We start from the raw sequence: 26,536 nt of genomic DNA on the forward strand, positions 1-26,536 counted from the left end.
TGTAAGGGAAATGGGGAGGGGTCCCTGTCCTGCTTTCCCTGTCTGTCTCATATATGTTTATATATACATATCAAAAGTGCTATTCTCACACAACTTAGAAATGAACAGTTTATGGCTATAAATAATAGACATTTGTTTAAAAATGTATTTTGTGGAAGAACACAAGGTGAGATTGTTTGTATTTGTGTCCTTGCCCAAATCTCTTCTGGAATTGTAATCCATAATGTTGGAGGAGGGGCCTGGTGAAAGGTAATTGGATCATGGGGACAGCAGACCTCCCTCTTGCTGTTCTCATGATAGTGAGTGAGTTCTCATGTAATCTCCTTGTTTAAAAATGTGTAGCACTTCCCCCTTTCCCCCCTCTCTCTATCTCTCCTGCTCCACCACAGCAAGATGTACTTGCTTCTCCTTCACCTTCTGGCATGATTATAAGTTTCCTGAGGCCTCCCCAGCAATGCTTCCAGTATAGCCTGTGGAACTGTGAGCAAAGTAAATCTCTTTTCTTATTAAATTACCCAGTTTCAGGTATTTCTTTATAGTAGTGTGAGAATGGGCTAATACACAAGGATATTAAAAATTTATGTAAAAAATTTAAATAATTTTTTCATAAAATGTGAAATAAATGTCACTTATTTTATTTTGTGCACATAATCAATAATTTAAATTTACTCAAGAGACATTTTACAAATTTAATTTATATTCCCGAAAATTGATGCAGTCAAATTGACCAACAGTCTATTTTTGTGTGTCTTTCTTTGGAAAGATGGGAAATTGTCTTATTTCAAGGGTTTTCCTATATGTGAGTGTGTTTAAAAAGTATTTGCTTTAGTGATTAAAACCAAACAACCCATATATAAAATTGTATCGGCCTGAGCCTTTCTTGATTCCCATTTTCCCAAGAGCTCATGAGTATTTCTTATTTATACATTTAACAGCCATTCATTGTATTTATATGAATTTGAGTATTAGACTTTGGCTAAAGATACAAAAGTGAACCAAAGAGGTATCAATCCTGGTTTATAGAATTGTTTTTTTTTTACCCTAAAACATCAAGCCTATTTACATTATTAAATTTAGAAATGTTGTAATCACATAACCAGCACAATCATGTAACCAGCCCAATCATGTAACCAGCCCAATCAAATGAATGTTACAATTACTAATTTTTGTAATTAAATGGTGAGTTGTTTTTCATTTGCCATGAATTCCCAAATTTCGGGTCATATAACCTGAGTCTGCCCAGATGAAATAAATGTGCTTAACTTGTGACTCCAAAGCCAGCCAAAACTAAAAAGTCAACCACAGGTGGAACCAAAGTGCTGGGACAAGGAACACAGACCAAATTAAGAAGCAAGCCTTCGTAACACCTTATGGCATGCTCCAATCAGATCATGTCCTGGCATCACTTTTTGTCATGACCCAATCATGACATATCTCCCTAAAAATCCTGCCCAAGTCCCCAATTTGGAGAGGTAGATTTGAGCATTGCCTCCTGTCTCTTTGCCAGTCAATTCACAGTAAAGCCTTTCTTTCTCAAAAGCTGGTGTGATAAAATTGGCTTACATGCATCAAGCAATGAGCCCATTGCTTAGTCGGTTGCAATGTATGCATTTCATGCTATATTTTTCAAAAATGATCCAATGGATAAAATAGTATCGTCTCTTATTGTGACTACTCTAAACAGAAGGGAAAAAATGAAAAAAAAACATTATTATGCAGATACATAATCATGCCATGTCATATAGACACGGTACTCCACCTTTGTAAATTTTCTTATGGGAAATTAAAACTTATTGGTAATGACTAAATATTTTTAACAAATTAAATCTTTAGTTCTGGAATATCTATATAACCTTTGTCTTTATATCTCAAGAACTCACTATATCTAGCCCATTTAATTCTGTGCATTAAATTTTCAGAACTTTAAGACTGATGACTCTGATTTGGTGTACAGCTCACAAGCTCCTAAAGGAAAGACTTTTGATGATAATTATTATGAGAAATTTGCCAGCAAAGAAGTAGACATTAGTATTTGAAAATTCACTGCATTCATAATCTTAAAAACCTTAGCAAAAAAAATTGCAAAAGAAGACACTCTTTAAAAATGGACATTTTTAATATAGACTGTACAAAGCGTTTGCCATGAACCATTTCAAAATCATTTTCTATTTTGTTTTTATTTTATTCAATGTTAAAATTAATTTTGGCATATTTATGGCATAAAGTTAATTTTCAAAAAATAACTTCAATTTATATCATTGACAGACAAGAAAAATGGAATTGAGTTAATTGGCAGGAAAAAACTCCCATATTGTAAACACATAAAACATAGCTGTATATGATACACCAGTTTACAAGCAAAATTTGCGGAAGACAAAAGGAAATCTAAGTTAATTTTATTACACATATATTGAAAATAATTGTAACATACATTTTTAGAGGAAAGCATTGTTTTACCTCCATAAATATGGTATTTTGAATAATGGAATACAGTCTAAATCATAAATATCATACTGAACACTTTAACTTTTAATAGAGCATAAAATTACAAAAAGTAAAAATGTACAATGAATATTAGTAAATAGCAGACAAGAAAACACAAAAGAAATTACTAATAAATGAGATCCCATATCAGATACTAAGTGCGATCTCAATGAATAACAGAGCATCAAAAAACAAAGTGTAATATGTATGCATATTATATTTGAACACGGTTCTAACAAATTATATGCATAGAAAGCATATAGACCAGGTGCAGTAGTGCATGCCTGTAATCCCAGCACTTTCAGAGGCCGAGGAGAGAGGATCACTTGAGCCTAGGAGTTTGACAAGATCGGGCACGTTCAGGGTGGTATAGCCATAGACAAGCCTAGGAGTTTAAGATCAGCTTGAGTAACATGGTGAAACCTCATCTTTACAAAAAATAAAAATAAAAATTAGTTGGGCAGGGTGGTGTGTGCCTGAGTCCCAGCTGCTAGGGAGGCTGAGATGGGAAGATCAACTGAGCCCAGGAGTCAGAGGTTGCAGTGAGGCATGATTGTGCCACTGCACTCCAGCCTGAGTGACAGAGCAAGACCCTGTCTCAAAAAAAAAAAAAAGTATACATATATATATAACAGTATTTGTATGCATATATTGATATGCATGTGCATGCATACACACACACATTAGTAAAAGATGGTTTTAATCAAGGTGTCCTCATACTATAGCAATACCTGTTTAGCTTTTGAACTATGCATTTTGTTAGTAATATATTTTAATATACCACAATAGGTTAACTTCTAATCTACTTTTCATTGGTTATATGAATCACAACTCGATACTTGCTTAAAGATTGCTAGCAGGATGTAAATAATCTATGTGTTTTAATGCATTTTATTAGAAAATCTTAAGGCCTTTTTACTATCCAGAAATATTTTGTCTATTTTGCACTGTCTTCCGGATTAGATCAGGAATTTTATTTATTCATTCATTTACTCAGATAGTTGTTTATTATTTGTTGTTCATTTATTCATTTATTTGTTTTCTTTTTACTTCATTTTGAATGGGTAATATTTGTATGTAGTTCAAAATTTAAAAGATACACTAAAGTATACAATGAAAAGAAAATTTTCTCTCATTTTCATTTTCTGTTAGATTTTTCATTTCCACTCTTACATTCTACTTTCGGTTTTATTTAAGTTTGTTATTATTGTTGTTACTTACGTGTACGCTTTTAAAAATATTTAATTTATGCACCTAAATGATACGCATTTTATTCCAGCTATGAAAATTTGGAAATCAGCACACATAGTACCTTATATATTTCTGTATATTTCTTTATTGTTTGCAGTTATTAAAGTGACATCATGTTTATAACCACAAGCTGTGCTTTACATCCTACTCAATGAAACAATTAAATACTTCAATGTCCCTTGACTTACATTTGCCATCTTTCTCTTAGTCAATAGCATGTATTCTCTGAGATTTTCTTCAAAATGAACTTAACAGTTCAAATGAAATTACTAGGAAGGCTGGTTTCTGCTAAGCTCAAAACATGACTCCTTTGTCCCTATTGCGTTCGTATCTGAGTGGTAGTTTAGCTAGCTGTAACTGTCTTAGGTCACGCTTTCCTTCCTTGAAGATTGTCTAGGTAGTTTTTCGCTATCATTATAACACTGAGTATTGCTGTGGAGAAGTTGAAGGTTGGCCTATTTTTTCACCTTATAGAAGAATTAAATCTTTTTTTCTGGCTACTCAAAGCATTTATATATATGAAATTTGACAATCAGCTAACTTACAGGGTTTATTTTCTAGTAGACAATTTTAGGTCAGCTTCTCCTGGGATATAATATTCCCTTTAAAGAAGTAAATTCAAGTGGTCCTTTATATCCGAAAAGTTTTATTTTTTTAATTGAATCTCTAAATATTTTTTCTTTGTTCCACTATTTAGATCATACCAATGAGGAGATAATAGTTATGTGTTTATTAAATCTTGTTTGGAAAAAATGCTTATTTGAATTTTCTTTGTATCTTGTTCAATTTTTTTTTTTTTAATTTTCACTCTATTTTGCTCAATTTTTAAGTCTTGTCCTTTGTTTTACCTACTGTGATTCTGGAGATGTCTATACTATTTCTGCTGCTTCTCATTTAGCCTTTATATCTATGAGATTTTTTACTTCTTATTACAATTATTTTCTCTCTGAACAGCTCATGTTTTCTTTTCTTCTCACCATTTCTTCCCTATGAAGACATATTTAATGCTCTGTTATTAATAAAACTGCCTCAATAACTTTACAATTAAGTATGATATTTTCGTGCTGACTTTTAGCAGATCTACAGCAACATTTTTGTGGTTAGTATTCTTCCTTTGGTTGTTTCTCCTTCTTCTTCCATTTCTTTCCTATTTTATTATGTTTATTTTGTATTAGTCTATTATTGTTTGTTTTGAATTATTTCTCTTCTTTGCACCAGGTAACTCTTCCTGTAAGATAATCTAGGCTCAGGTACTTGGTTGCCACAATTTCCCTCATGTTTTAGGATTATTTGCATGTCAATGAGATCACCCCAGCCAGTCAAGATTAGCACCATAGGGCTGTTCACAATGGTGGTATCCCTTCTCCTCCTAGCCACAAAACTATGTTCCTCTCTAGATATATGGGCAGTCCGTGTGTTCATTTATCACTACCTGCCAAACTGTCAAATCAGCAAGATCTTACAGTCTTTGCCTTAATTTTCATTGTTGAAGATATGACTGTTGCTTCCTACTTCAGGGTGTACTACTTACTTGATAAAGTGTACTACGTATGCTTTTATAAGATTCCTCGCAATGGGTATGCTGAGCTATATATTTCTGCACTCATTATTCAACCTTCTAAACATTTAGAAATACCCCCTGCCTCCATTTTGCACTTCAGAGTTTTACGTTTCTCTTGTCCTTTGAAGTTGCCATTTTTATTTTGATCCTTATTTTCTATTTGTTTTTCAGTGATTTCCAAGAGAAGAAAATGAAAAGAAAAACTTTCTGCTGCAACTTAAAAATACATGTTCTCTCAGATATGTAGAAACAAGAAAATAAGCTTTGTTAGTCAAGAACTGTCCCATCTTATGTTGATTTCATCACTATGGAAAGGATGTAGTTGTACTTTCTCCCAATGTTTTCTAGTCTAACACACATTATTAGGTATTTTAACTTTGATCATCATTTTCTTATTCTTTCTATAGTCTGTTTTTATTTTTATTCACTATAGGTTTCTATCTTTCACATACTTCCGCTAATTTATTTAGTTTACATTTTTATTTCTGTATGTTTATTTGTTATATAACATTCATCAGGATGCACTATAATTCTTCCATCTCTTATGACTGAGAGACTGGCAAAAATTAGTTCATATGGAAATAGAATCAAACATTGTCATTTCCTTAATTTATACTTATACCTACAAATACTCACAATTCATAGTTTCTTCAACTAACAGTGGCTTCCTATTTTTTCCTTCCCACTTAGCTTCCACTAGGTGGAAGGATTCCTACCAATCCTTCCCTTTTTCTTATGTAAACCAAGTGTGGATTAATACCAAATCTAGGCATGTTTTCCACCAAAATAATATGGGAATCCACTAAAATAATATAGATGAGTCTGTTCAATTTGTTTTGTCTGCTATAGAGTTTTCCTTAATACTATAGGCCAGATGATTTTATAAATATTATATTAAGAAAGAATTATTTCTGACTTTCTTTAATTTGCAGATTTGGAATTCTCTGCTATATTTTTTGTTAATTTTACTTCTTGGCAGAATAATGAACTTTAATTAAAAATAAATGAGTCATTAAATGAATTATAAATTCATCAGTGAATCTCAGTTGCAATAATGTTTTTACATTTTTCTTGAAAAAAATGAAAATTAAGTCTCAGATTTCTTTAAGAGTTATACAATTTTGGATATCACTATGATTTTTCAGATAGTTACATTTGAGAAAAAGAATCCTTTTTCAAAATACATAATGCTTGACAATGGCTTTGATCTTAGTTTTAGTGCCCAGGAATTTCACAAAAGGGATTGAGCAAAGCAAGAGACAGGATTTTAGGATCTCTAATCTTGAAGAATGTCTACAGTTTTCTTTTGGGAAGATTATAAAGAACGATCGTACTGCGACTTCTGAACCACTTATGCTCAAGATATTGTTACATACATCTAAGACATCAGTAGCCCAAAGAATAGTGACCAGAGGGAAATGCAGAAATAAGCTAGAAACCAGATGAAAGTCTGTATTTGAAAAGGATTACCTGACTAAATGTTGTTTCTGAATCCAAAGAGATAAAATTGCAATAAAAGAATAAAATAATAAGGCAAAACTTTTGGAAAAAATTGAGTAGGTATGAAGTGAATTTTAAAAAATGAAATTTGAAGGTTAAGCTGATAGATTGCATTCTTTTATGATGCATATTGCAGCAAATTGCTCATGCAAATTAATGCTGCTTGCATATTAATGGAATGATTATGAGTACAGTTTTTATGTTATGGAATTATCAAAATTGATCTTGAAAAAGTGAGCTTTTAGTTGTTAGAATTTAATTTTAAAATCATAAAAACTTTAGCTAAATTCCATATTTAAATGAAAAATGCTTCTATTTTCCGAGTTGTGCTAACCCAAATTATGAAAGTGAATTAACCAGAGTAGGTTATTATGATAAAAAGGACAGTCAAAATATATAAAGTTTCACATAAATTAAAATTTCATTTCTTGCTCGTATGCCAGTTTAGGCTCTTGCTTATATACTGGTTTAGGTCAGGTTCTTATAGAACATATTTTGATGTTGTAGGAAGAACATCAGTTATCACCCTGCTGAGCCTGGAGAGGACAGAATTGTGAAAGGAATCCATCAGAATAATTGTCACTCAAAAATTGTAAAACACAATTAATCTTTTCTATAAAAAGAAATAGTGGATAGTTACACTTGACTCCATGCTGATTGAAGTCCTGTCATAAAGCAGATGTTTGAGTTATCTTGAAAACAGGGTATAAAAGGGCATGTTAAATATTAAGCCTGATGTTCCCATGAGAGAAGAGTGTTGTTAAATTACTAACAATCCTGGCTTATAAAGAGTGCATAATCTGTCTTTTGTATGTTAAAATTTAGCTTCTTTAAATAAATGGAACATTTGGACACCTTTTTGAGTTGCAAAATTTTAACAAGATGTTTTTGAAAAAACGAGAGACATTTCTCTACATTAATCCTTGCTACTACTGAAGTGGAGCTTACAAAGGTCAGAAGCAGATAGAGCCTTCCTGCCCCTCCTTTTGCTGTCATACCTATGGAACAGCAGGGTCCTCCCAACGAAAGGGCAAGAGTGATGTTCCCTATAATGAATAGTGCTATTTTATTACTTGACCTTCAAGACAGCCTGAAACTTTCAAGTCAGAGATCAGTGTGGAAAAACAAATTGATGAGCAGGAACACTGTAATCTTAGCTGATAACTCTTTAAAAGGTAACCAAAGCTATTTCTTTGCTCCCTGGATACCGGTAAACTTTTCAAAGAACTTAAAAAAAATCTGGTAGAGCATAAGGAAAAGTGAACATTTTGAGTGGCCTTTTCAAAACCACAAGTCATGTTAAGAATCTCGAGGCAGTCTGTCTTCACAAATGACTATTCAAAATGCTGAATATGCCCCAAATTAGAAATGACCATTATATAAGGCTGTGTGTAAGCAAGAGCTTTGAGAATGGGGGCTTACTGTAAGTCCAAGAGAAGATCAGAAAGAAAAAAGTTATAAAGAGCAAAAGAGGAACAAAAGTCCACCAAAGACAGGGCCTAATCTAGTTCTTAACAGAATTTGGATTTGGGTCCAAGGGGGAATTTTCAGATATAAGTCTGGGAAAAACACAAACTTACAACAAAAGCAAAATAGAAAACTAAAAATATCTGAAATTTAAACCTCCAAAAGTAGAAACAGGAATAAAAAGTTTCATAAAATGTGCTAGTTATTTTTATTTTATCATAATTCCTACTTAAATCCTTTTGGTTTTACATGAACATGGAATATTTCTAACAACAGAAAAGTCAATCATTGAAAACAATTTTTATGTGGATTTAAAATATATTTAGCCAAAAATCATTACTTATATGTATATACAATATAAAGATACAAATACTAAAGCAAGTGTTTTAGGGGGTAAACAATACAATTTATTTTATCCAAATAACAATAATTTAATCAATAGTTAATTTTGTTTCAGTGAATATTTCTGTAATTCAAATTAAGTCATAAGTGACTGGTAAAAGGGCAATGAAGTTATCATAAGTTGAAATTTGTTAATCCATATGGCATTTTTCCAATACACTTAATGGTTTCTGCTCCCAAGTAAATCAGTTAAAGACAAAGAGCACTAAATGGCTGGCCTTAGCCAACTCAGTACTGTGCATAATGCCTGTTCAACCCCACGGTCTTCCCTTTCTCTTTGTCTTAGTTTTGCCACATGTTCTGCTCAGAAAGTTCTGATCGCACTGTTCCACCTGATATTTATATATTTTGCCCATGTTTTTATAACTCAATAATGCCATCCCTTCTGTGTACAGTATTTGAACAAGCTGTTTTCACCTTTTTTTGTCAAGGTAAATTCTTTCATTAATTCTAATATATTTTGTTACTTATTAGGAGTTTAGGATGTTCTTTTAGCTGCACTGGTATTTTTATTACTATTATCAGGATAATTAAGGCATTACTTAATGTTCTTCTTCCAACGATTCTTAGGATTTTACTCGGTCTTCATAGGTTTTGATATTTGTTATGTACATATTTGCATCATACTATTTTGTTAAAAATATGCATGTTGCATTATTGTAAATTGTCTGTATATAGTAAAATGAATAACTAGGATTCATAAATTGTACTGTAATTGACTTCTACTACAATAATTGACTATAGCTAACATTATTGTTAGTAAAATTAAAACAAGAAGATCAAGTATCATTGACCCTGATATTTTAATTTTTTATGCTATAAAATACTCTCCTAGAAGGTCAGTATAAGAAAACATATAAAAGCCAGGTGCAGTGGTATATACCTGTACTCCCCACTATGTAGTAGGCTAAAGCAAAGGATTGCTTGAGGCCAAAAGTTTGAGGCTACAGTGTGCCATGACTGTGCCTGTGAATCCCACTGAACTCCAGCATGGGCAATATAGTGAGCCCCCATTTCTTAAGAAAAAAAATATGTTTTAATACAAAATGAAATAAAATATGAAACTAAAGCCTACTTTTCAGTTATTTTCTTCTTATTTTGCTCAATACAAAGTCTTGATTCTTGACAATCAATTTCTAGTTTAGAAATGGAGCAGAAAACCTGTACTGAAACTACATGCTTTCATGAGTTATAATTATATGTTGGATTGTGCCTCATAACACATGTAAGTGTAATTGTATGTTTGAATCAATTCTACAAAATTGCATCCAGGCTACCATTGTATTTATAGCAATGGCATTGGCTTTTGTTTAAATTGTAAAGACAACAACACTAAATGGTCATGGGAGAAGAAGAAAATTACAATTATTTAATTCCTTATATATAATAAACTAAATATATGTTTAAAAGGCTTGGATATGCTGATCTGGAGTAAATAGAAAATTATTCTGAGTGAGAGAAAAACTGAAAGGAAACTGAACACAGTTTGAAAACTCCTCTCCATCTATCACAAACTAACGACAACATTTAAATGACAGAACTGGGTAAAGTAGGTTGCTATAACAAGCTTCAGAGTCAGTGGCAGAGCTGAAAATGCAACGTTTGTTGATTTTTTGAAACAGTGCTCTGACAGGATGATCCGAACTCGATTTATTTCTTACCTCGAAAAGACTTTTAAAAGCTGAGAAATAATGATACCAATTTGATAGGACTTCTGCATCTACAGAAATCTACAGCCTCCTTCTGTGAACACTGCATGTACTTTCTTCCACTGATCACAAAACCAGGTTAATTATTTTACTCCTAATACAATCACCTGTTTAAAGCTAGTTCTTTATGGTTTTGGATTTTTTTTTCTTTTTCTGGCAGCTCATATGTTAAAAGAGTGCAGATTTGGAAAAGGGTTGATTAAACATATACTCTAGTGACACACTGGGTACTGGGCACAAAGAGAGTAGCTATAAAGACAAAATTATAACAGTCCTGCCTTTATACTCTGTGGTAAATCATGTGTAAAATGTAATCTAATCCCACTGGATTCTGGAGATTTACCATGGAAGCCAGAATGGGTTTGAGCCAAAATTATTAATAATATTTTTATTTGATCTTATTACAGTAGAACTAATAATTCACACATGTAAACGTTTTTTTTAAAAAATCTTTACTAATGTCTCTAGCTGGTTTCACCATTTATTAATTATGTAAACATATATCTTTATTGGTAAAATTAATATTTTAAAAATATTCAAGTTTTAAAGTATCTAAACTCTGATGAAAGAGCAGTTAACTTCTACAGTTATCTAAATTGCATCTTCTTTTTCCATTTTAACCATTAAAATACCAGTTAAAATAAATATGATTTGTTTCTCATAAATCCACATTTTCAATGGGGACAGTGATTCTCTCTCTCACTCTTCCTGTCTTTCTTTATTTCCATGCGTAGAATTCTCAGATTGGCATTTCTGATTATAGTAGATACTAGTAACATATATACCCCAGAAAACACTTTCAAACTCCAATAAACTGGTAATATAAAAATTTGGAAAGGAAGAGGTGAGAAATAAGTGGGCCCTCTCTGCTTTCTTCACAAAGACTGGCATTATATCAGTTTCACAGCAGCAATAGTGGTGAGAATTCCTCATGCATTCAAGACAATTTTTACTTTATCTGTGACAATTAGCATTGTCTGTAAACTATGCACACAGAGTACATTAGTTAATTAAATTAAATTAATTACATGAGATATGTATCTAGCATTACATTTAGTGTATTGCAATTGTTCTTATCACTTCCTTCACTTAAAAGCATAGCATAGTATTTTTTGAGTACATACTACACAAAACACTTTGCAAGGAAAACATTTGACATTCAAAGATACACATCTATGAATCCTTTATGATTCACTCTCAAAACACAAACTTCTGTTTTCAGGATCTATTACCACTGTGTTACAGACGAGAAACTAAGGTTAAATAACATTGTGACTAGCTTAAGTTTAAAATGTTAATAAGTGGTAAAACTGATATTTAAATGGTAGAGTTAGCAAAAACTATTGGCCAGCAAAAGCTGATAAAAGCAGGCCAGTCTTAGCGCCGAAGAAAAAAATTATAATGAAGTACTCTATGCCAGATATTAAGTTATAAGTTGTACCTTAGCTTGAGTTTCATTCAGGAATTGACCAAGTATTAATAAAGATTAGGAAGCAATTGGGGATTGGTGAGAGTTTCTTTTTGAAACTGGGAAGGTTGTAAACACCACTGAACCCTCTCATGATAAAACATCATGAATCACATCTAGATTAATTGGTGGTTGAGGGTTCTGGTTTCCTGGCATCTTCACCAACTCTTTGAGCAGTTGACCCTTGAACAACTTAGAAGTTTAAACTGTGAAGGTTGGCATATGTGGATTTTGTTTTTACCTCTGCCACCTCTGAAGCAGCAAAACCTCCTCTTCCTCCTCCTCCTCAGCCTACTGAATGTGAAGACATTGAGGATGAAGACATTTGTAATGATCACTTCCACTTAATGACTAGTATATATATATATATATTTTTTTTTTCTCTTCATTAATATTTTCTTAATAACATCTTCTTTTCTCTCACTTACTTTATGGTAAGAATGCATTATGCAATACATGTAACATACAAAATGTGTTAATCAACTGTTTATGTTACCACTGAGACTTCCAGTCAGCAGTGGGCTATTAGTAGTTAAGTTTTTGGAGAATCACAATTGTGTATATATGTATGTATTTATATATAAATATATATATGTATATATAAATATATATACATACTTGTGATTCTCCAAAATATAATATAAATATATATATATATTTTTTTTTAACTGAACCCCTTCATTGCTCAAGGATCAGCTGTTATTACATAAGGGATTGGGATTGTTTTATGCGTTGTTATTGGCTATGCAACTGCCTATTCAAAAGACCATGAAATCTGAGGAGGAAAAGGGAGAATTTTATTTTCTAAAACATCAATCTGCAGGTTGGAGAGGCACACCCTTCAGTACAAGTTAAAGTGTGTTCTCTAAAGAACAAGAGGAGGGTCTGGCTTAAATAGGGGAAGTTCTCACCTCAGTTCTCAATCAGATCCATTGATGCAAATGAAGGATTCAAGGTTGTTCAGTTCTGATTGGTCAAAATAGTCAGGCTCTGATTGTTTTCAAGCCCCAAAACAAAAATGTCTTTTAGATGTTTATTTCAAATAGCCATGGGGTGGGGGCAGTTTAAATCTGCAGTTCATCTTGTCACTAACAAGAGGAACTGGTTTGGCTTGATTATAGAAAGGGAAATCCTATGACACTTTTGCAATGTCTTTCCAGGAACAGAGTATGTGACAGTTCCCACACCCAGTCATGGCCACCTGACTCTATTTTAACTTTGAGCACCTCAGTTAGCCACGATGGTTCTATTTTGTCTGTCGGCTGGTGGCATACTTTAATACTGTGTGACTTGATGATTCTGAAAGTTCTGATTTGAAACTGTCAAGAGGCAGTTTTTCATTTACTGTTAAGAACTTAGCATTTTGTTCAGGAAATAGATTTCTGATTGACAAAACTTACAAAATAGAAAATTAAACAGAATTATAGCATAATTCATTACATTTGTAATCTGAAGAAAGTTGAACTTCTAAATTGAGTTCATTAATATCCAAATAGCTTCATTTGTTGCCTACTGTTAGGTATACATTGTTCTTTCTGCTTAAAAATGATCTCACACCAGTTAGAATGGCGATTATTAAAAAGTCAGGAAACAACAGATGTGGGAGAGGATGTAGAGAAATAGGAACATTTTACACTGTTGGTAAGAGTGTAAATTAGTTCAACCATTGTGGTAAACAGTGTGGCAAATCTTCAACAATCTAGACCCAGAAATACCATTTGACCCAGCAATCCCATTACTGGGTATATACTCAAAGGATTATAAATCATTCTACTATAAAGACACATGTACACATATGTTTATTGCAGCGTTATTCACAATAGCAAAGACTTGGAACCAACCCAAATGCCCATCAGTGATAGACGGGATAAAGAAAATGTGGCACATATATATCATGGAATACTATGCAGCCATAAAAAAGGATGAGTTCGGCCGGGCGCGGTGGCTCACGCCTGTAATCCCAGCACTTTGGGAGGCCGAGGCGGGCGGATCACGAGGTCATGAGATCGAGACCATCCCGGCTAAAACGGTGAAACCCCGTCTCTACTAAAAATACAAAAAATTAGCCGGGCGTAGTGGCGGGCGCCTGTAGTCCCAGCTACTTGGGAGGCTGAGGCAGGAGAATGGCGTGAACCCGGGAGGCGGAGCTTGCAGTGAGCCGAGATCCCGCCACTGCACTCCAGCCTGGGCGACAGAGCGAGACTCCGTCTCAAAAAAAAAAAAAAAAAAAAAAAAGGATGAGTTCATGTACTTTGCAGGGCCAAGGATGAAGCTGGAAACCATAATTCTCAGCAAACTAACACAGGAACAGAAAACCACTCATAAGTGGGAGTTGAACAATAAGAACATAGGGACACAGGGAAGGGAACATCATACACCAGGGCCTGTCGGGGGGTTAGGGGGCTAGAGGAGGTATAGCATTAGGAGAAACACATAATGTAGATGACAGGTTGATGGGTGCAGCAAACCCCCATGGCACGTGTATACCTATGTAACAAACCTGCGCACTCTGCACATGTATCCCAGAACTTAAAGTGTAATAATAAAAAAAAGTTATTTTTCTCTGACTCAGAATAATACAGCTTTTTTGCCTTCCTTTGCATAGTATCCTTTTCCTGTCTTCTTTACACCAACATCCAAAGTGGAACGAGTATATTAATACTTGTGGCAAACTTAGAACACTCATGGTTAGGCTGAACTGACTGTTTCCAATGAACATTTCCATCTCTAATATTAACCCAATCTTTGTCTTGTTTCCAACAATCAAGGAACTGATTCCCTAGCTAAAGCTACACATAGACAGAATTTCTGTTTAAAATTTGTATAATTGGTTCAATTTCAAATGCCTGCAATCGTAAGCTGTATAAAGTGTGGTAAATACATTTTTTTTTCAATGGAACTTGTTACTGAGAATTTCCGAGAGAATACATTATAGGTAGGACTAAAATTTTGTTGAAGAATAATTTGTAATTATAGAACATGGAAATGTAACCAACCAAGAGTAATTGTGTCATAAACTAATCAATATTTGTATAAAATAACACAATTTGAGAGAGAATTTGACTAGAAAATTTGAAGATCTTGATCCTAATGTCATTTCTGCCCTTCACTGACTACATGACATTAAGCAAGTGCTTGTTATATCCTTGAGTCTCATTGTTCTAAACAGTCAGATGGATGAATCTTCTAGGATTTCTTTCTGACTCTAAATTACCATTTTTAATTAATACATTTGCATATGAAAGCTTACTTATTCACTTGCTGCTTTTAAAACACAATACTGCTGGTTTTAAAACACAGTTAATGTTCATTAAATATCAACCATGCACACTGCATATACTTGACACGAGTCTTTCTAGGCACATTATATTACATAATGCCGTGGCTACTAAATTATTTTGTAGTCATAGCAAAGATAATTATAATATCTAAATTTTTTATGCTAATATCTAAATTTCTATAATTGTTGGGAGTATATTTAGAGACTATTTAATATGTACTGCATCAAAAATCTATAAAACAAGATGGCATCATTATCCTCATCTTATTAACAAAGGATGTGAGGCTTGAACTTATGGAAAGGCTTCCAGTTATTAAGCAGCATTTTAATTATAGTTATAAGCATGAAAATACATATTCCTAGTTCAAACATTATTATTTTTTATTGCTCTAGTCCACCTATTACTTACAAAAATATTGATAATACCAATAATAAGCCTACCTGTAGTTACTTATTTTTCTTAATGTAATGTTTATTTGGATATGCAATATTATAATTATGATCATTTGTGTTCAAAACTGAAAATTGTTCAAATAGTTCCCTTTTTTCTTAAATGGAGATACAGTGCTTCATTATAGCCTACAGCTAATTTTTTTTTCATTTGCAATATACACAAAAGGTTTTTTTACGGGAAGAACCAAATTATGCTTTGTGTGGGTGTATGTATTTATTTAAATTTAAGTTTGACAGTGAATATCACCAAAACTTATAGGAAAAAAAAGTAAGTCAAATAACAAGTTGATTTACTCTTATGTATTTTGGGTAGAAAACTTGGGAGAATTCTGAACTACTTTTGCATATGTGGTCCTGGACCTACCAATCACAAAACAGTGATAGCACAGAAATAAATGAACTGTACATGTATTGTTAGAGGCATTCCGGTATTCAGCCAAATAAACTCAATTACATTTCAGTAGGCAGACAAGTCAATGTGTCACAACAGATGGATGAACAAAGGTGATCATGGAGATAATTTAAGAACAAAAGACTCAATATAATTGAAATTATTTTGGGGTGAGTTCTAGAGCATGAACAAAAATGCGTATAGTAAAAAAGCTAGTTTTTCAACAAACAGTATGTAAAAACCACTGAGAGTTTTCATTCTTCAGTTGTAGAATAATATCTATCAATATAAAAAAATTAACCATTCAAAATTGACTGGGCTTCTGAAGCATATAGTGTGATAGGTTTTTATCACACTGTAGTAATGGAAAAATAACTCAGTTCTATTGCTATTAATAAGAAATCAACAAATATGAAAAATGAAAAGTTACACAATTATGTGTAATTATTGAGACTATTAGTGTTTCTCTAATACATACTTGTAGATTTCGTTGGAATACTAAATATACTAAATTTTAAAAAGACTTTTTAAAATCCATTACAAAAAAAACTTCTGAAAGCTCAGTCATGTTAGAGTTTATTATATTGATTACATTCAGAGACAATTCATCAACCCTGTTCAAGTTACAGCCTATACATTGATTTTTTTCAGTAGACTTAAAAAGCAAGTGCTATTGATTTATCTATCTATCTAGCTAGCTATATATAATTTTCATTATAAAGGTACAGGATATAGAATAAAAGGCATATTTGAGCAGATGCTGAAAAGAACATTTTCAATATTTTAGTATTTTATAACTCCAAGATATTTACTTTGGAGGTGTTTTGTTGTTGTTAAAACAAAATATCTTCCAGCTCTTCAATTTTAATAAGACTTTATAGTCATGCCTCCATATTTGGGGGAGGTTAGTTCCAGAACTCCCCACAGATACCAAAATGCACAGATACTCAAGTCCCTTACATAAAATGGCATAATGTTTGCATATAACCTATGTACATCCTCCTGTGTACTTTAAATCATCTCTAAATGACTTATAATAATTAATACAATGTTTATGCACACACTTCATTTGCATGAATTCAACATAGTATTTGGTGAACAGCAAATTTGTTTTTCTGTTTAGAACTTTGTAGAATTTTTTTTCTGAATATTTTTGATCTGTGATTTGTTGAATCCACGGATTCTCAGCTCATGGATACAGAGGTACGACTGCATTTAGTTCGACTTCCAATATGGCAAATGATACGGTTTGGATCTGTGTCCCAGCCCAAATCTCATGTTGATATGTAATTCCCAATGCTAGAGGTGGGGACTGGTGGAAAGTGATTAGATCATGGGGGTGATTTCTCATTAATTGTTTAGCACAACCTCCCTAGTGCTATTCTTGTGATCGAGTTCTCATGAGATCTGGTTATTAAAAAGTGTGTAGCACTTCCCACCACCAACCCCACCCTGTGCTCTCTCTCTCTCTCATCCTCCTACTCTGGCCATGTTAATTGCCTGACTCTCCCTTTGCCTTCTGCCGTGATTGTAAGCTTTCTGAGGCCTCCCTGGAAGCAGAGTTACTATGCTTCTGCCACAACAGAAGCCTTTGGAACCATGAGTCAATAAACATCTTTTGTTTATAAATTATGCAGCCTCAGGTATTTCTTTATAACAATGTGAGAATAGACTAGTACAGCAAGGTATTAGTACACACTTCCAGATAGTAGCCTGACAAGTTCCACAGTTCCACTCTCCAGGAAAACAAGCAAAACTGTGTCAACTATTGAAAAACCATGTAAAGTCTCTGGAGTTTGTCCTAAAGGCCTGAAACAAATGAAGAAATATTTATTTAAGGAAAGCTATTAAAACTCTCTAAGAACAGCCAAAATCTGTGATATTTGAGCTATGACCTGTTACCTCCTGTATTAGTCCATTTCCACACTGCTACAAATAACTACCTGAGACTAAGTAATTTATAAAGAAAAGAGGTTTAATTGACTCACAGTTCCATATGGCTGGGAAGGCCTCAGGAAACTCACAATCATGGCAGAAGGCAAAGGTCAAGCAAGGCATGTCTTACATGGCGTCAGGAGAGAGAGAGAGCCCGGCGGGGTTAGGTGAAACTGCCACACACATTTAAATCATCAGATATCATGATAACTCACTATCATGAGAACAGCATGGGAAAACTGCCCCTATGATCCACTCATCTCCCACCAGGTCCCTCCCGTGATATTTGGGGACTACAATTTGACATGAGATTTGGGTGGGGACACAGAGCCAAACCATATCACCACCTTTTGCACCTGCCGCCAGCTCAGCTAAATGGAAGCCTTACTCCAGGTGGGTGTGGCTAAAAAGATGGGGCTTGCTTTCCCCCTCTCTCCTTAGTTCTCAATCAAGGGTTACTGTATCTCACTGGGAGGGTCAAGACAACAACAGCATTTCTCACCCTGTCCACATGAAACACAATAGGCTAAATTTCTGGTGAGTGCTGTCAAATGTCCTGGGCTCCTTTCTTGCACTAAATCTCTACCCAGAGGAGAGAGACTGTTCTCTAGGTACATAGGCTGAGAGTACTGAATTAACAATTGTCCTTGCTTGCCCTAGCTCATTCAGATAGCAAACCTTATAAGACCAGAGGTACCACTCCACTCAGAACCCAGAGTAATGACTTAGAGATTTTTATCCAAGGGGAGAATTAGTCCATAAAAGAGATTTTTTAAACTCTTCCCAAAGACAATGACTTTATTTGAATCAGACGAAGAGGAGGTTAAAGCATATGGGTATTCTTGGAGACAATTGCTTTCTTTAATTTAGAGCAACAAGGTTAACCATAGCCCAGCTAGTACACCACCAAGAATCAGTGAAAGAGACAGCTAAGTAGAGTCTTCCTGGGTTTAGTACAACCCTAAAGAAATGACCCAAAAACTACCAGGACCTAGATGTAATTGGATCAGACTACTGAGGAACGTATTCCCCAGAGCATTGTTTCAAACAATACAGCAATCCACTAGTAATTAGTAAAAGCCTAATACTAACTAGGCAGACAACTGAACAGACATTAGGGAAAAAGACAATTAAGGAGACAACCAGTAAAACCACTGATAAGAGAGTGACTGTGAGCACTCCCAAGCCCTACTCTTCATGGAACTACATAAAGTATTCATTCACACGCTAAGGAAAACTTCCCAAAACGCTGCAAGACAAACTTCTTTAAAATACCTTATCTACAAATAGTTTGGCCAAGTCGCAAACAAGTAAACAAGCAAACAATAAAACAAAGCAAACCTCAGAGAGGATAAAGGGGATCAGTATCCAGAGTTACTATAATATATTGTATTAAGTGCCCAGTGCTCAACCAAAAATTATGAGACACCCAAAAAGGTAAGAAAGTTCCATCAGGCAACTGAAACTGCCTGTGAAAAGGACCTTATATCAGTTTTAACAAAGCCTTCAAAGTAGTCATTATAAGTTTGTTCAAAGAACTAAAGAAAACCAGTCTTATGGAAGTAAAAGAAGGCATGAAGATGTCACTTCAAGTAAAGAATATCAATACCGGGACAGACAATATGATTTTAAAAATGCAAATTATGTAGATGAAAAGTACAATAACTGAAATTACAAATTCACTAGAAAGGCTCAACACTACATTTCAACTGGAACAAGAAAGAATCAGCAGACTTGAAGATAGATTGATAGAGATAATGCAATTGAAAAAGAGAAAATAAAGTAAAAAAAAATGAACAGAGCCTCAAAGAAGTGTAGAATACTTTAAAGTCCAAAATATGCATAATGGGAGTACAGAACAGAGAAAGAGAGAAAAAGAAGGAAACAACACATTTTTGAAAAAATTAATAAGTAAAATAACTCTGATTTTACTGAAAAATATTTATCTACATATCTAAGAAGCTTGATTAACTCAAAATAACATAATCACAGACATTCATGTCCAGATATAGCACAGTAAAAATATCGAAAGACAAAAGCAAAGAGTTTATTTGTTAAGGAAAACACTGAGGTAAACTTAGTATCAGTAGAGAGTTTGTTTGGGCCAACTTTGAGGACTGCAATTTAGGAGCATAGATTCAAGTTGTCCTGAATATGCACTTGAATTATTAACAGTTAAAGTAAGTTTTTAAAGGAAAAGAAGAGGTAGTTCCTAAATTGTTTACCAATAATTTCCATTAAAACAACATTAGCTATTGATTGGCTATACCTTGTACTTTGTATCATAAATTCCAGGAACATGAAGATAGTAGGTGAGGCAGCTAGTCAGGCATGCATGCTGGGAGATGGCTGACTAAAGTCCCACATTCACGTCTTTCCGGGCCTGATGAATTTTCTGTACCTCATATAGCTCAGACTGCTCTTGGCTATTTTTCTTTTCTCATTTGTATGCTATATTCCTGATTTTAGATTATTCAATGCCAATAGTGTGTTAAAATAATTACAAAATCTTATATCCTAAATCTACCACCGACTAAGCAAATCTATCCCTTTATTCTTTAGCTTTTAATTTTAATTAGCAATAATTCTATATTGACTTTTACTAATATTCCACAGAAAACCTTTTCACATCTTTTTCATGCTTCTTGAGCTTATATGCCAATTATGTCTTTTTCCTTCTTAGCATTTTTATTGTGCTCAAATTTGATGCCATATAACTACTCAGCTTATTTTAACTCCAACTAAAAATATCTGTCATGTCTTTACCCATTCAATCTTTTGTTTCTATGTCAGAATGAAGTTTTTCTCTTCTTTATGCCAAGGCCATTCTTACTGTTTATGAGTTTAGCAATGTTATTTATATGAAGAATAAATTTTACATGACCAGTTTTCTAATACTCTTTCATTTTTAGTTCTTATTTACTTGACCATTTATTTCTTCTCTTCTCCCTATGCAACTGACCAGGTTAGGGCTATATAAACAAACATACAAAATATTTGAAAAATATTCTTTTCTTAATTGAATTATCTCTTAAACATCTGCAAAAATATAATAATTTTGTTTATTGTTTCCTTACCATGTACTCAGGCCTATTTAATTTTTGCTTTTATTAACATTAATTCTTTCCTTAAAAATTCTGTAGGTTTTTCTTTCATTTTGATAAAGGAAAAACTTCAGCCTAATTAAATTTAAAGGATTTTAATTGAGCAATGAATGATTCGTGAATTTGGCAGCCCCTAGAATCACAGCAGATTCACAGAAACACCAGCACACTCATGTGGTGGAAGCAGATTTATAAACAAAAAAGGTAAATGACATATAGAAATTGAAAGTGAGGTACAGTATAGCTGAATTGGTTACAGGTGGAAGTTTGCCTTATTGAACACTCAGCAGTGTATAAATGGTTGAAGTACGGCCGCTGGGATTGGCCAAGACTTAGCTATTGTTACAGGCACATACTTCTAAGCTAGGTTTTACAATTTTGTCTACTGATTAAGCTAGACTGCAGTTCATCCACAAGGACCCAAATATAGAAGTATGGAGTCCTTTTCAGGCCATGTTTAGTTCACTTTAACAATTTGTTTAATTTCTTTAACAGATTATTTTTTCTTTGCTTTTTTTTTTACTATTGAGTTCTAAGATGATTGCACTGCCAAAAGATTTTTTAGAACTTCTGTAAATGTTTTATAACCTTGTCTGCAGCATAATTTTCAAAAGTTTCCAAATGTGATAAAGACTATTATATTATTGACCATTGAATTTATTGTGTTTAGTATGCCTTGATTTGAAGAATTCAATGTCCTACATATTAAAATATGTTATTTAAATCTTCTTCAACTTACCTATTTTTTACTCTCACAATTTACTTAATCATTGCTTTGCATATTAAAAATATGTTATTAAGCATATATAAATTTAGAATGTTTAGGGAGAAACAAGCAATTTATCATTATATGAAGACATTCTTTTTCTAAATACAATGTTTTGTTTATGTTGCCCACTGTTAGTATAGATTCTCATCTTTACTTTGGTTATGATTTTTCTGTTGTGTATTTTTCTATTTCAACTTGTCTTTTTTTTATCTTATGTATATTTTAGGTATGTCTATATAAAATATAACTGCCATGACTGTAGTTTAAGACTGTACAAATGTGTTTTATTTTCTTATAAATGTTGGGAAGTAAGCAAGAGTTTTTCAAGCCTCTACTTCCATCACAGTTATTGATGTTCACGGTCAAGGTATAAATACAGGAAAGAGTAGTTCTAGGGGAGAAGTTACATTATTTAACTTCTACTAGAGTCATTCCTTAGGGCCTTAATGATTCATTTTTTTCTACATACAAAATATACCCACCCACCTTCATTCTAGGATTGTAAAATGTTCATCCAATTGCAACCTTTGACAGACTTGAAGTCCAGGATCCCATCTTCTAAATTAAGATGATGCAGATAAGGCACCTTGTCTGCAGTTTCTCCAACACAACAATTTGGGAGTAGTTTCTCCAAAAATCAAAGTCCTATGAACTAAAAAACAAGTCATCTGTCCTTTTACAACTGCCCCCACACCCAACACAATACTGCAATAGCCATTACCATTCAGAAAGAGGAGAAATGAGAGGCATGTTGAAGTAATCTGGCCATTACAATTCTGAAATTGAATCTGGTGCACATCACCAATTTTCCATGCTCCAGGGGCAGGAAGTGTTCCTTCAGAAGGCACCAGATGGACTTGCTGGACATAGTTCAATGAAACATTGTTTTACTCAGCTCTTGGTTTACCCTCTGTCTAGGTCCTTGGTTATGCCTCTTAAGAAGTCTTTTATTTCCATAAATAATTGTCTATATTTGTGTCTAAATAATTCTCTCAGCCTATCCATAGAAATTTAAGGGCCCAATGGCCTCATTATTTTTATCTATGTCCTTTGGAGTCCAAGCTTGTACAGTTCTTTTTATGATGTTGAAGACTTTCCGTATATCAAATTATAATCCACTGTCTTAGATAGAAGCTGTCTAACTCACAGATCTTTTGAGTCATGCTCTTCTCTCATTGGGTTGTTAATCACGATACTTTGGAATGATTTGCTTAAGTTTCTTGGAAGCTCATTTTTCTACCTGATAGAGCCTATGTAACACTGCTAAAGTATTTCTAAAGTAGAAATAAATGATCTTATGGATTTATTTGATCTTCACCCAAAGACCACATTTACTGATAGCATTCTCTATTTATATCTTTGCTCATTGAGAATGTTTTACTAGCTAGAGAGTCTGTGGATTTGGAAATGTATACTTTTCTATCCTAGGAAATTTTGGTTTTGAAATGTTTTATTTAAGTTATTCTTGAGAGAGAATAGCTACTTTAGTTCATATCTCATTCAGCATTCTGCCTGAAGATTTTCTTAGCCAGAACTCCAAGTTCATTAGGTACACTTTGTATTATTCATATTACTGTAGCTAATAGTTTAATTATCTTTCCCCCCACAACATCTTTACATTTTTCAAACTTCATTCACAATGTCACTAAAGTCTTTCCCACTTCTATCTGCTGTCCAATCCATAGTGAACACCACATGCTTAGGATTTTGTTATATTGACACCACCCTTCCAGTATCATTTCTGTTTTCAGCTATCTATTTCTAACTAAAACACTCAACATAAACTTAATGGCTTAAAATATATATGAAATATGTATGGTTTAATATATATATGAAATTATATATATATTTTTTCTTTTCACATTTCTGTACATTATCTGGGGGTTTCTTCTCTTCATGTCTTGTTGCTTGGAGTCTCTCATGCAGCTGTGTTTATCCGGGAGCATAGCAAGGTTACCATGTTTGCCTTAACATGATTTCTTTCTTGTGATATTGCACAGAAGCAGGTTAAATCATGTGTATTTTAACTAACTTTCAACAAAATAAATCCAGAAACATAGTCCTGGAATAGATCTTTTTGTGGCCTAGTTATTATGTTAGAATAATAGAACATTTTTCTTATTCTACATTGTTTTTACTGTTACACATGTAGTATGATAATTAGTAGCAATCATTAATTTTAAAAAGTGTATCAATTCTTTATACGAAAATATAAATTCCTAGTGAGCAAGGTATTTTATCTATTTTGTTCCTTGTTGTTATCTCCACTGCCTGAAGTAGTGCCTGGCCTATGAGTAGAAATGAGTTCAATATTCATTAAATGGATGCATTTTTTAAAAGTGGAGGCAGAAAGTAATGAATTCATATATTCTAAAATCATATTGGGAACAAATGTAATTATGATATCCAGAAAATGTAATTTGTGAATGCCTGTTTCAATAACTAGAGAAAAAAAATCACACACAGATTGCTAAACAAGATGCCTAAGATGCATTTGTATAGTAAATATTGGCGAATGTTTATTTACAATTGTAAGTTTGTCTAGTCTCTAACTTTGATTAAGTAATTCAATCTCTCTTCTTTGTTATTTATTTCTTAAACATACATATACACTAACCCGCAGGTTTCCATAACCAGCTATTTCAAATACAAAGAAAAATGAGCCTATTGAACACAATTCCCTTCATTCTATTTTTTAAAACCAATATATAAATTATATTTTCAGTGCTGATTAGTGTGGAAAAAGTGGCATATCATAAAAGGAACAAATAAATCATCTTTCCATCTTGTCACTGTTTTTAAAGTGTCATTTCTGAAGCTTCCTAAAATATTTTAAGCATACATATTAAATCTCAAAATATATACTGCTTAAGCAAATTAATTTTTATTTTAACTAATAATTTTTATAGCTCAAATATAAATGCCTGAAGTAATCAATGCAATCATCCTGACAATTAATATAACAAATTAGGATTTAATGTAAATTATATTCAATTAAAGCTGCATCTACAGTGTAATTTTGAGTGAGGCAAATCATTATTTTGTATATTTCAAAATGCAAATCTCTTGTTTAAAAAGCTGAAGAAACACATATTTTATCATGCATGAGCCCTATTAGGGATCCTGATTTTCCTTTAATTTGGGCCTCATGATAATTTTTACTATCTTGCTAACTCTATATTGAACATATATTCAATCCATTCCACATAGACTATTACTGCTTCTGAAGCAATGCCTTTTCAAATCTTTGGTTTGTATACTTATTGCACCTATGAAATAAATACTCCACGATTACGTATGTGTATATATATACATATATATATGTGTGTGTGAGTAAGCTATTTCACCATCATTCCATTATTGATTGGCACATTGGTAACTGGATGTTGTCTCAACTTTCTAAGCTTATTTGCATGGTAGTTAAGGTAACTTGCTCCCAGATGTGCAAATGTTTGACTTGTCTTTTTTTTTTTAATGTGACAATCAATCTTTCATTTTATGTTCAAGCGTAATGTACTTCACTAAAATTATAGAATATTTTAAAAAAACATTATAAATAATAATAAACATATCCAAAATATTCAGCATTCTTACTTAACAGATGCCTGATAAATGCTTGGGCAACTATGTTACAGCCTCAATTTCTTTTCACACTTCCTGTATTTCAAACACCTATTTTTTAGCACAGTTTCACAGAACTGTTCACTATTCTTAAAACACCTCACCGCTTAAGTTTCATTGCCCTTCCATTTTTTACATATATCATCTCTAATCATCTTTGCTCATTCCTAAATAATGAAACTCAGTTCACTTTTCAAGGAAAAACTACAATGACGACTTCCCTTAGCAGCTCAAGAAGAGTTAATTTTCTCCTCCTTGGTGACACTAGAGAACTTTATGTACAGGTTCTTATAGTAGTCTCCATATTCTAATTATTATTATGTATTTGTCCATAATATACTTTGGAAACTTCAAGGGTAATGAGCATTTCTTATCAATATTTGGATCCTCATGACTTAGTCCAGTGACAATATTATCGTCATTGCAGAAATATCTTGCCTAATAAGACAAGAAATAAATGGATATTATAATATGTAACAATTTAAAAATACTCTAAATCGGGGGAGATATATTATACAACAGAAATTATATAATTGAGTACAGTACTTGTCCAAATAAGTTGGTTTTAATCACTTGAGGTGTTGCTGCACAAAATACTATACAGCTGCTATGGACTTAATGCTGGTGTTAACACCTAAATTCATGTTTGAACCTAATATTTGATGTGATAATATTAAGAGGTGGGGCCTATAAGACGTGATTAAATTATAAGGACTCTATAACTGGGAACGTAAGTATTAAAAATCTATTTTGATCACCCAGTTTCTTTTTCTTCTTTTGTTTCCCTTTTATCCCATCATTCGTCCCTTCTCTAGACACTCCCTCCCTGCAAAGTATGCTTATCTAGTTATGTTCTTACGTAAGAAATTCCAGAGGCTGATCTTGATACAAACCAGACACAGAGCCCTGATTGTGGAATCCTCCCTAGTGGAAGTGGCGAACAATTACTCCACCACGATCAGGCTAATGTTAAGATAATGCCAACCAGACCTCTGGATGGGCAATTATCCAAGATAGCCAACAGAACAAAGACACACAGATCCTGCATCCTGCACCAATCCTACATGTCTTCCATGCCAAGTTTCCCTTTAAAAACCTTATGATGAATTTTAAAATTTAAGATGGTACGTAAGAACACCAG

The sequence above is a fragment of the Homo sapiens genome, chromosome 1 (genome assembly GCF_000001405.40).
Source record: "Homo sapiens chromosome 1, GRCh38.p14 Primary Assembly".
NCBI classification, from domain to species: domain Eukaryota; kingdom Metazoa; phylum Chordata; class Mammalia; order Primates; family Hominidae; genus Homo; species Homo sapiens.